This window comes from Homo sapiens, chromosome 6 (assembly GCF_000001405.40).
Source record: "Homo sapiens chromosome 6, GRCh38.p14 Primary Assembly".
Classification (NCBI taxonomy): Eukaryota; Metazoa; Chordata; class Mammalia; order Primates; family Hominidae; genus Homo; species Homo sapiens.
This window is the reverse complement of record NC_000006.12, coordinates 158924144-158936541: the sequence shown is the minus strand read 5'-3', so window position 1 is coordinate 158936541 and position 12398 is coordinate 158924144. Positions and strand designations below refer to the sequence as shown.

The window sequence follows — 12398 nt, the reverse complement described above, 5'->3', positions numbered from 1 at the left end:
TCTCCTGCCTCAGCCTCCCAAGTAGCTGGGATTACAGGCATGCACCACCACACCTGGCTAATTTTTTTTGTATTTTTAGTGGAGATGGGGTTTCCCCATGTTAGCCAGGCTGGTCTCGAACTCCTGGCCTCAAGTGATCCGCTTGCTGCAGCCTCCGAAAGTGCTGGGATCACAGGCATGAACCACCACACCTGGCCTGATTATATTTTTAAAGGAATTGCTTCTTAAGAATGATAGTCTGGCCGGGCACGGTGGCTCATGCCTGTAATCCCAGCACTTTGGGAGGCCAAGGTGGACGGATCACCTGAGGTCAAGAGTTATAGACCAGCCTGGCCAACATGGCAAAACCCTGCCTTTATTAAAAATACAAAAAATTAGCCAGGCATGGTGGCGGGTGCCTGTAGTCCCAGCTACTCCGGAGGCTGAGGCAGGAGAATGGCGTGAACCTGGGAGGTGGAGCTTGCAGTGAGCCACTGCACTCCAGCCTGGGCAACAGAGTGAGACTCTGTCTCAAAAAAAAAAAAAAAAAAAAAAAAAATGGATGATAGTCTGACTTCTACGGATTCACATAAATAACAACAGGGGGATACAGCCCTTCTTATGTTGGGCAGCTGGTCACAAAATCATAGTGCTGTGGGCCTGTCTATTTTTGACAAAAGAAAGAGTTTCTATACATCGTTAAAATGCTTATGTATATTTACTGGATAAGAGGCATGAATTAGAACATTCTACCGAAAACGGATTGATTTTAGCATACTGGGTTTTCACAAATTATGACTGCATAATTATCGCTTTGTGGATCTCCACCAACTAAGTAAAGTTTGTGCCAGGTCAATCCTTTTGTCTACTAATCAATATCAATTTGTGAAACATTAAAAAACAAAGCAAATACTATTTAACAGAATATTTTTAAATTTATCACACTGAAAAAACACAACCTTTCTTATTTTCCAAGACAATCACCAGTCGGCCACTCCTCAGTAAAGGGAATTCCGGCAGTTTCCTGACTTGCCCAGAGTGAGAGTTATCTGGTTGCTTTTTAACCACCCAGCTCCCCCAGTGACTCTGATCAGTGGGCTTGGGATGGAGGCCAGGGACTTGTATCTTAACAGGTACCTGGGTGGTTGTCATCATCAAAAAAGCTGGGTTCCCCTATGGCTGTGACTGTGGCGTTCCTTCCCTGTTGTCCTGATGCTGCTGGCGTTGACAATGTGATTCTGCCACTGTTGAATTTGTGTTCTATAATATAAATTTGACTATCAGCCGGGCACAGTGGCTCACGCTTGTAATTCCAACACTTTGGAAGGCCAAGGCGGGAGGATCACTTGAGCCCAGGAGTTCGAGACCAGCTTGGACAACGTAATGAGACCTTGTCTCTACAAAAACTTTTAAAAATTAGCCAGGCACGGTGGCGTGCACCTGTGGTCCCAGCTATATGGGAGGCTGAGGTGGGAGGATCACCTGAGCCTGGGAGGTCTAGGCTACACAGGTCTAGCTGTGATCATGCCACTGCACTCCAGCCTGGGCGACAGAGCAAGACCCTGTCTGAAAAAAATAAAGTAAAATAAAATTGACTATTATATACTGAGGTATAGTTCTCTTGTTCTCTTGTTTAGGGTTCTCCAAGCTTCCTGTATCTGTAGACTGATGTTTATCATTAAATTTGAGGGATCAAGGCTATTATTTCTTTCAACAATTTTTCTGCCATTCTCTTTCTTTTCATTTACTGGGATTCTAATTACATATGATTTAGACAACTTGAAATTGCCCTATAAGTCACTACACCTCTGCTCGTTTTTTCTTCTCATTCTTCAAATCTGATCATTTCTATTGCTTTATTTCAGATTCATCAGCCCTTTCTTCTGCAGTCTGTTGCTAAGCAGTGAAACTTTTATTTTACAGATTGTAATTTTTCGTTTTAGCATTTCCATTGGTCCTTTTTTATCAACCCATTTCTCTGCTGAGACTCCTCATTGATCTTATTAGGACGATGCTTTTCTTTAAGTCTTTGGATATTTTTAGATTAGTTGTTCAGAGTCTTTCTCTGCTGAGTTCAACATTTAGACCAATTGGATCTAGATGTTACTGATAGCTTTTTCTTCTTGATCATGGGTCACATTTTTCTGCTTCTTTGCACGTCTACTAATTTGTTATCGTGTGGTGGACATTGTGAATGATACGACGTAGGGAGTTTGGATTATGTCATCTTCCTGTATAAGATGTTGAGTTTTGTTCTGGCAGGCATTTAAATTACTGTTATATCCTTTTGATCAGGCTAGGCTAGTATTATTCTTTGTTTGGGAGGAAACTATTTTGGTTTAAAGCTTAGTCCTAAAGTATTGTTCTTGCTTTATGGCATAGTCCTTACTCCCAAGGCATAGCCCTTACTCCCAAGGCATAGCCTTTCTAGGTCTCACCCGAATGCCCAAAATGTTCACATTAGGCCAGAGCGCTAACATCTCCAAGCAACGTGCAAGTTCTAGTATTACTGTGCCGCTCTCAGCCCCAGCACAGGCCTCGTGGAGGCCTGCCTTGGACAATCACAGCCTAGTCCTAAGTTAAGGATTCACATAAAGACTTCCCACACAGACTTCATTGTCCTGAACAACTCTCTTCTTCTCTAGTACCCTGTTCTGCAGACTTCAGCTACTTCAGCAGCCCCAAGCCCCAATTTCTGCCTCTTCATCTCAGTAAAGTCACTGCTCAGCTTGGATCTCACTTCCCTGTGCCAAAGCAGGCAGAAAGCCAGGTGATCCTGGGGCTCATCTTGTGTTTCCCATATCTCATGATCCCAGTCCAGCATTGCCTGTTACTCAATGCCCCAAAACAGTCGATGCATATATTCTGTCTACTTTTATCGTTTTTAGCAGAGGGCAAGTCGGGTACCAGTTTCTCTATCATGTCCAGAAGTGAAAGTGAAGCAAATGCAATGATGATTATGGTTGTAAAAGTGGTTCTCAACCATGGCTGCATATCGGAATACCTTGAGGACTTTTTGTGTGTGTGTTTAAATACTAGTGCCCCAGGTGGCCTGAAGGTCCAGCCGAAGTCAAGAAGCAGTCTAAATCATCACAGTATTTCCACTCTGGCTTCTCACTTTTGTCAATGTTAGGCTTTTATTCGTTGCAAAATAATTCCCTAAATCACTCTGGCCTCCCTAATGAGCCTATACAGAGGGTTTTTTATGGATATTGTTATGGCTCAAGGATAGCTAGGGTGCTGTCTTCTGTAATAAAACTTGCTTGGTCAGCTGCTTCTGGGACCTGTGCTTCCCAGTCCACATTGACTTGATTAATAATTTACAGTCATCTGAGTGTTATGCTATTTTTGGAGGTCATTACATTAAACCATATCATAACCACGTATTCTAACACAACATCCAAATGTGATTACTGATTGCTTTAGACATGCTATAGACCTGAGACTGTTCCAATAAAACCAAGACAGCACACTGAATTTGTATACACAAACTCCGTAACTATCTTTAGAACAAGACTGGGTTCAAGCAGTAAGCCCAGCCAGTTCCCACAGATCACAGTCACTAGTTGTGCGGGGAGGGTAGCATCCCAGGGGTGCTAGTACCTAGAGAATTACAGCATCTTCAGAAACATCACTAGAATAGAGGTCACCACATTTTTCATCTTGCATCCTTAGTAGTACATTAGTGGGTTTTCTAAAATAATGCTTGCTTTACTTTATTTATGAATGGTACCAAAAAACATTTTATTTCATTAAGAATAGTAATATTATGACTAGGCGCAGTGGCTCACGCCTGTAATCCCAGCACTTTGGGAGGCCAAGGTGGGCGGATCGCGAAGTCAGGAGTTCAAGACCAGCCTGGCCAAGATGGTGAAACCCTGTCTCTACTAAAAATACAAAACATTAGCCGGGCATGGTGGCACACACATGTAATCCCAGGTACTCTGGAGGCTGAGGCAGATAATTGCTTAAACCTGGGGGTGGAGGTTGCAGTGAGCCGAGAACGCGCCATTGCACTCCAGCCTGTGTGACAGAGCGAGACTCCGTCCTAAAAAAAAAAAAAGGAATAGTAATATTGTGTGTACATATAAAATATAATCTGTATTATGCATATATAGATTGTATTAATATTTTAGAGCAAGCAATGTGATTTTAAATTTTGCATAATTTTTTAAAATATTGTTTTAATACTTTATGATGGGGCAATTTGAAGGTCTGGTTTTAAGTTCATGTTATTTCATTACTTGGTTTTCATGAGTACCTTAGCTAAAAAAGGCATCTCACAAAGATAAGTACAGACAAATGGAAAAAAGATATTGTGTTTATTAAATTAAAATATTTATTAATCTCATTCATCAATTACACAGAAGTTGTTTCTTGAAATTCACTAGCAAATTTAATCCTCTCTGATCCAACCAGTTGTTCTTGCAAAATAAATAATCAGAGGGTGTTCCATTTTGGTAATTTTAATAAATGCTTTGAAAGCCTGATAATTTAATGTGAAACATTTTAAGCAAGTTAGAAGATTCTGGTTCCAACTTTTTAAATAATTTTTATGGGTACATAGTAGGTATACATATGTATGGGATGCCAACTTTTGAAGTGGGAAAGAATGGATTTTTTAAAAGCGACACACATCATTTTCAGTAACAAAGTCACGTAATAATAGAAATAGTTCCAAACATCTGTTTTTAAAATATTTTTGAAAGTTCCTTTTGAAAAGTAGTTACTAGCATACTCAATTTTAGAATATCTCCTCTAACCATGAGGAATCAGGTTATACATCTGTTTTTATTTTTGTTTTCAAAAATATCTGCAGCCGGACACAATGGCTCACGCCTATAATCCCAGCACTTTGGGAGTCCAAGGCAGGTGGATCACCTGAGGTCAAGAGTTCGAGACTAGCCCGGCCAAAATGATGAAACCCTGTCTCTACTAAAAATACAAAAATTTGCTGGGCATGGTGGCACGTACCTGTAATCCCAGCTACTCAGGAGGCTGAGGCAGGAGAATTGCTCGAACGCGGGAGGCAGAGGTTGTAGTGAGCTGAGATCGTACCATTGCACTCCAGCCTGGGTGACAAGAGTCAAACTCCATCTCAAAAAAAAAAAAAATCTGCCAGGAGTTGTGGAGTTGTGTCTCTGAGAACAACTTACCATGTCAGAAAATGTCAGCAAATTTGGAACACTGTCTTTTTACATAACAAAAGTCTACAGAATCGTCTTTAAGTTGAGCAGCTGTTTTGAAAGATTTATCAATGAGAACTGGTGAGCATCTGCGTGGTCCAAAAGATTTTCATAGTCTTTTCCCATCTTCTCATTAAGAATTATTGTAGATTGCCCTCCTTTCAACATTCTTTTTGTTTGTTTCTTTGTTTGCTTGTTTTCTGAGACAGAGTCGTGCTCTGTCACCCAAGCTGGAGTGCAGAGGCACTGCAGCCCCAACTTCCTGGCTGGGGAAGCCTCAAGCCATCCTCCTGCCTCTGCCTCCTGAGCAACTGAGGCTACAGGCATGTGCTGCCATGTCCAGCTAATTTATTCAGTTATTTATTTATTTATTTATTTATTTATGTATTTATTGGTAGAGACGAGGTCTCATTACCTTGCCCATGCTGGTCTCGAACTCCTGGCCTCAAATGATTCTCCAACCCCAACTTCCCAAAATGCTAGGATTACAGGTACGAGCCATTGGGCCCAGCTTAGATATTCTTTTTGTTTGTTCATCTTTGTCGAGGTATAATTGGTACACAATAAACAGCAAAGGTGCTGTGACTCATGCCTATAATCCCAACCACTGGGGAGGCCAAGGCAGGTGGATCACTTGAGCCCAGGAGTTTAAGACCGGCCTGGACAACATAGTGGAACCCCATTTCTATAAAAAAAAATTTGTTTAATTAGCCAAGCATGGTTGTGGGCACTTGTGGTCCCAGCTACTTGGGAGACTAAGACAGGAAGATGGCTTGAGCCCAGGAGGTCAAGGCTTCGCTGAGCCATGTTTAAGCCACTGCACTCCAGCTGGAACAGAGCGAGACCCTGTCTCAAAAATAAATAAATAAATAAATAAATAAAATAAACACCACATATTTAAGGTATACAATTTGATGAGTTTGGACATATGCTCCCATGTCTCCAACACCACAATCAAGATAATAAACGTATCCATCACCCTCAAGAGTTTTCTGGTCAGGCACTGTGGCTTACGCCTGTAATCCCAGCACTTTGGGAGGCCGAGGCGGGCAGATCACTTGAGATCAGGAGTTTAAGACCAGCCTGGCCAACATGGGGAAACCCCATCTTTACTAAAAATACAAAAAAATTAGCCGGGTTTGGTGGTGCGCGCCTGTAATCCCAGCTACTCAGGAGGCTGAGGCAGGAGAATCACTTGAACCCTGGAGATGGAGGTTGCAGTGAGCCGAGATCACGCCACTGCACTCCAGCCTGGGTGACAGAGCGAGATTCCCTCTCAAAAAAAAGAAAAAATAATAAAAGTTTTCTCACGCCTGTTTGTGATCCACACCCACCCTGCCAACCATAGGCAGCCACTGATTTGTCATTGTAGGTGTGTTTGCATTGCCTCCAATTTTATAGATGTTGAACCATACATACTCTTTTTTTTTCTGGCTTCTTTCACTCAGTATAATTATTTTGAGATTCATCCATTCCTTCTATTGCTGAGTACTGTTTCATTATGTGGCTATACCTCAGTTTGTTTCTTCACCAGCTGACGGACCATGCTGTTATGGTCTGAAAGTTGGTGTCTCCCAAAATTCATAGGTGGAACCTAAAACCCAATGTAGTAGTATGAAGAGATGAGGCCCCTGGGGAGTGATTAAGTCAGGAGGGCTCCACTCTTGTGAATGAGATTAGAGTCCTTATAAAAGACACTTGGGCAAAATGATGACACAGCAACAGCACACCGCTCATGGAGCAGAGCACCCTCCCCACACACCAAGTCCACTGGCACCTTGATCTTGGACTTCCAGCCTCAGAACTGTGAGCAACCAATTTCTGTTGTTTATAAATGACCCAGTCTAAGGTATTTTGTTATGGCAGCCAAACAGACTAAGACACATGGTCTCATGGTCCAGCCCTTACTTGAGATATGAGCTTCTTATTCTTGTTAAATGAGTCAATCAAGATGGGAATGATAATTCATTTACTCTTAGAAGTGGGAGAAATGACCACACCTCAGATGGGAGGTACAGGACCTGCCAATACTCAGGGCTAGTATCAAGTGTCGCATAGTATTCCTGGGCTCCTGCATGAAGGAGAATATTCTCTGGGAAGAGATCTTTGTCTTTGTCATTGATTCCCACATCTCAGGTGTGAATTTCTCTGATCCTTTGTGCCACTGAGCTATTATTTCTTCTAAAACACCATACATCCTGGAGAGAAAAGAAAGTCATCAGATAGATGGATAGATAGATAAATAGATACATACATGCATACATAACATACGCAGTTACAAATGTTTTTTTGTTTTTGTTTTTGTTTTTTGAGACAGACTCTTCCTCTGCTGCCCAGGCTGGAGTGCAGTGGCGCAATCTCAGCTCACTGCAACCTCCGCTGCCTGTGTTCAAGCAATTGTCCTGCCTCAGCCTCCCTAGTAGCTGGGATTACAGGCACACACCCCCATACCTGGCTAATTTTTGTATTTTTGGTAGAGACGGGGTTTTGCCATGTTGGCCAGGCTGGTCTCGAGCTCCTGACCTCAATGATCTGCCTGCTTCAGCCTCCCAAAATGCTGGGATTACAGGCATGAGCCGCCACACCTGGCCACAAATCTCTTAATGATAGAAATATGTTCTGAAAAATGCCTCATTAGGTGATTTTATCATCATGTGAATATCAGAGTGTGCTTACACAAAGCTAGATGGTATCGCCTACTGTGCACCAAGGGTCTATGGTAGAGCCCTTTGCTCCTGAGCTGCTAACCTGTACTGCACATTACTGGACTGAATACTGTAGGCAACTGTAACACAATGTATTTGTGTATCTAACCATATAAGAGGTACAGTAAAAATATGGTATACTACTCGGGAGGCTGAGGCAGGAGAATCACTTGAACCCAGGAGACGGAGGTTGCAGTGAGCTGAGATCATGCCACTGCACCCCAGCCTGGGTGACAGAGAGAGATTCCGTCTCAAAAAAAAAAAAAAAAAAAAAGTGGTATAAAAGATAAAAATGGTAAAAAAAAATATATATATATAGTACATATATACCATGGAACACTACACAGCCATGAAAAAGAACAAAATAATGTCCTTTGCAGCAACATGGATGGAGCTAGAGGCCATTATCCTAAGCAAACTAACAAAGGAAAAGAAAACCAAATCCAGCATGTTCTCACTTATAAGTGTGAGCAAAACACTGAGTACACGTGAACACAAAGAGGAGAACAATACACACAGGGGCCCACCTGAGGGTGGAGAGTGGGAAGAGGGTGAGGATGGAAAAACAACCTAGCAGGCATCATGCTTATTACCTGGGTAATGAAATAATCTATACAGCACACCCCAGTGACATGATATTTACCTACATAACAAACCTGTACATGTACCTCTGAACCTAAAATAAAAGTTGAAAACAAAAAAAAGAAGAAGAAATTCTCAAAAGGTTAGGCAATGAACACGTAGGTATGGGACTTTGGGAATACTGACGGTGTTTATTTCTAAAGTCATTAGGCCATTGTCCTTGGGTTCACTTCATAATAATCCATTATTCTGTGCATTTAAATGTATTTTTTGTATGTATTCTATATTACACACATTTTAAAAGGTTTAGAAACTTTTTTTTTTTTGAAACAGAGTCTTGCTCTGTCACCCAGGCTAGAGTGCAGTGGTGCGATCTCAGCTCACTGCAACCTCCACCTCCTGGGTTCAAGCCATTCTCCTGCCTCAGCCTCCCAAGTAGTTGGGACTAAACGTGCCCGCCACCATGCCTGGCTAATTTTGTATTTTTAGTAGAGACAGGATTTCACCATGTTGGCCAGGATGATCTCAATCTCTTGACCTCATGATCCCCCCACCTCAGCCTCCCAAAGTGCTGGGATTACAGGCATGAGCCACCGTGCCCTGCCTTGAAGCATTTTTAAAAGAAAATGATTCATACTATATGTTTTTATGAAAGTACATACTGACAATAACAGTACTAACCTGTATGGTACAATAAAAATATTAAACTTTAAGATGCATAACAAATGCAATTGTGTCTCAGGATCTAGGTCTTCAGCTATTTGCAGTAATCTTTTTTGGTTTTTTTGTTTGTTTGTTTGTTTTGAGACGGAGTCTCACTCTGTCGCCCAGGCTGGAGTGCAGTGGCACGATCTGGGCTCACTGCAACCTCTGCCTCCCAGGTTCAAGCGATTCTCTTGCCTCAGCCTCCCGAGTAGCTGAGACTACAGGCGCACACCACCATGCCCAGCTAATTTTTGTATTTTTTTTAGTAGAGACGGGGTTTCACCATATTGGCCAGGCTGATCTTGAACTCCTGACCTCATGATCCACCTGCTTCGGCCTCCCAAAGTGCTGGGATTACAGGCGTGAGCCACCACACCCGGCCACAATAATCTTTAATGATTTTTTGAACAGTGAACTTCTATGTCATGATTTAACCAATAAACTAAATTTAAAATGAAAAAAAAAGATAAAAATGGGCTGGGTACAGTGGCTTATGCCTGTAATCCTAGCACTTTGGGAAGCCAAGGTGGGAGGATCACTTGAAGCCAGCAGTTCAACACCAGCCTAGGCAACGAAGCAAGACCTCAACTCTATAAAAAAAATTTATTTTAATTAAAATTACAATTACAAAAAGATAAAAATGGTACACCTGAATGGCGCACTTACCATGGACGAGGCTTACAGGAACGGAAGTTGCCCTGGATGAGTCAATGAGTGAGTGAGTGGTGAGTGAATGTGAAGGCCTAGGGCATTACTGTACACTGCTGTGGACTTGATAAACATTGTACACGTAGGCTATGCTAAATGTGTAACAAGTATTTTTCTTTCTTCAGTAATAAATTAAGGAATGACACAGAGAAGATCAGCATGGCCCCTGTGCAAGGATGACATGTGAATTAATCTGTTCTCACATTGCTGTAAAGAAATACCCGAGAGTGGGTAATTTATAAAGGAAAGAAGTTTAACTGACTCACAGTTCAGCATGGCTGGGGAGACCTTAGAAAAGAAACACAATCGTGGCAGAAGGCAAAGGAAAAGCAGGGCACCTTCTTCACAAGGCAGCAGGAAGGAGAAGTGAGTGCAAGCAGGGGAAATGCTAGACATGTATAAAACCATCAGATCTCGGCAGGGCGCGGTGGCTCATACCTATAATCCTAGCACTTTGGGAGGCCGAGGCGGGCAGATCACCTGAGGTCAGGAGTTCAAGACCAGCCTGGCCAACATGGGGAAACCCCGTCTCTACTAAAAATACAAAAATTAGCCGGGCAAGGTGGCAGGTGCCTGTAATCCCAGCTACTCAGGGGGCTGAGGCAGGAGAATCACTTGAACCCAGGAGGCAGAGGTTGCAGTGAGCCGAGATCATGCCATTGCACTCCAGCCTGGGCTACAGAGCAAGACTCTGTCGCAAAAAAAAAAAAAAAAAAATCAGATCTCATGACAACTCACTCACTATCACAATAACAGCATGGGGGAAATTGCCCCTGTGATCCAATCACTTCCCGCTGGGTCCCTCCTATGACATGTGGGGATTATGGGGATTACAATTCAAGATGAGATTTGGGTGGGGACACAGCCAAACCATATCAACATGTAAATTCATGCAGTGTTCCATATTTTAAAAGAATATTATTATAATAAATTAATTATAAATTATATAATAATATTATAATAAATTAACCTTAGCTTACTGTAACTCTCTTATTTTATAAACTTTTTAATTTGTTTTAACTTTTTGACTCTTTTACAAAACAGCTTAAAACACAAACGCATTTTACAGCTTTACAAAATTATTTTCTTTCTTTGTATCCTTATTCTATAAACTTTTTTCTATTTTAAAAATTTTTTTATTTTTTTTTACTTTAAAAATTTGTTGTTACAAACTAAGACACATACATATACATTAGCCTACACAGGTTCAGGATCATCAAGATGTGACTGGGTGATAGGAATTTTCCAGCTCCATTATACTCTTATGGGACACAGCAAATATACCATTGCTGTATATTTGGTTCATAGTTGACTGAAACTGGTACGTGACTGTCTGTACTTAGCCTTAAAATTCCTTCCTTCCTTCCTTCTTCCCTCCCTCCTTCCCTCCCTCCTTCCCTTCCCTTCCTTCCCCTTCCTTCCTTCCTTCCTTCTTTTCTTTCTTTCTTTCTTTCTTTTGACAAGAGTCTCACTCTGTTGCCTAGGCTAGAGTGCAGTGGCGCAATCTCAGCTCACTGCAACCTCTGCCTCCCATGTTCAAGTGATTCTCCTGCCTCAGCCTCCCCAGTAGCTCCTGCTTCAGCTTCCCCAGCACAATTTTGTATTTTTAGTAGACACAGGGTTTCACCATGTTGGCCAGGCTGGTCTCAAACTCCTGACCTCAAGTGATCCACCTGCCTCAGCCTCCCAAAGTGCTGGGATTACAGGCATGAGCCAATACACTGGGCCTTAAAATTCTTTTTCAATTAAATTATTGGTTAAAAGAAAGAAATAGAAGCAGAGGGCCATTCTGTGTGTGTTGAAGGTTGTTTGAAGCCCTTCTCTCTCCCTCTCATCCTTCCCTCTTGTCCCTTTCCTTCCTCCTCCTTCTCCCTCTCTTCCCCTTCCTTCTCACTTCCCCTCCCTCTTCTCCCTCTCCCCTTCCGCTTCCCCTTCCTTCTCTCTTCCCCCTCATGCCCACTCCTCCTCCCCCACCCGCTTTCCCTCCCTCTTTCTTCCTCCTCCCTCTCCCCCTTCCCTTCCCCCTCACTCTCTCCCACTGTGTCACCCCATCCCTAGGGCAAAGCATGGCCAGGAGGTGTGGGCTGTAAAGCACACATTACCTAGAAGCTATATTATTTCCCAGAGAAAAGAGAGCTTCTGTGGCTTTGCCCACCAGATTTCCAATAAAAGGATTCATCTTAGACCAGCATGATTGCAGCTAATGGAGAGCTTGCCAGCTTCTAACTTTGCCTTTCACTGAGGATCCATGTGGGCGTGTTCGGCTGTGACTGCTAGGATAAAGATCAGTTACAGAAATAGCTTTGGAGCTGTTAGGATGATGACTCTTTTTTACGGCAGACCATTAACAACTACATCAAATTACCCATGTGAATTATGAGGTGTAGTAGGGTGCCCGACCTTCCGCTCATTATGTGGGACCCAGTAGTTATTGCAGGTCAAATCATGCATAATTGCCAAGGGCATTTTTACGTGAACTTTGCCAGTCATTTCTTGATGCGGTCCCTTAAGATTATATTACCATATTTGTATT

At 42.4% G+C, this 12398-nt stretch overlaps 1 pseudogene, besides 1 other annotated feature; it reads left to right on the top strand.

The window, feature by feature from the left end:
* Positions 204 to 306: a silencer, noted in NCBI's record as "fragment chr6:159357268-159357370 (GRCh37/hg19 assembly coordinates)". NCBI's record gives its function as "represses an EF-1alpha promoter that drives an FKBP-Casp9 reporter gene in an ReSE screen in phorbol 12-myristate 13-acetate-treated (for megakaryocytic differentiation) K562 erythroleukemia cells {active_cell/tissue: K562(+PMA)}" and the evidence as "EXISTENCE:reporter gene assay evidence [ECO:0000049][PMID:32094911]".
* On the top strand, positions 9971 to 10076 carry RNU6-293P (RNA, U6 small nuclear 293, pseudogene; annotated as a pseudogene).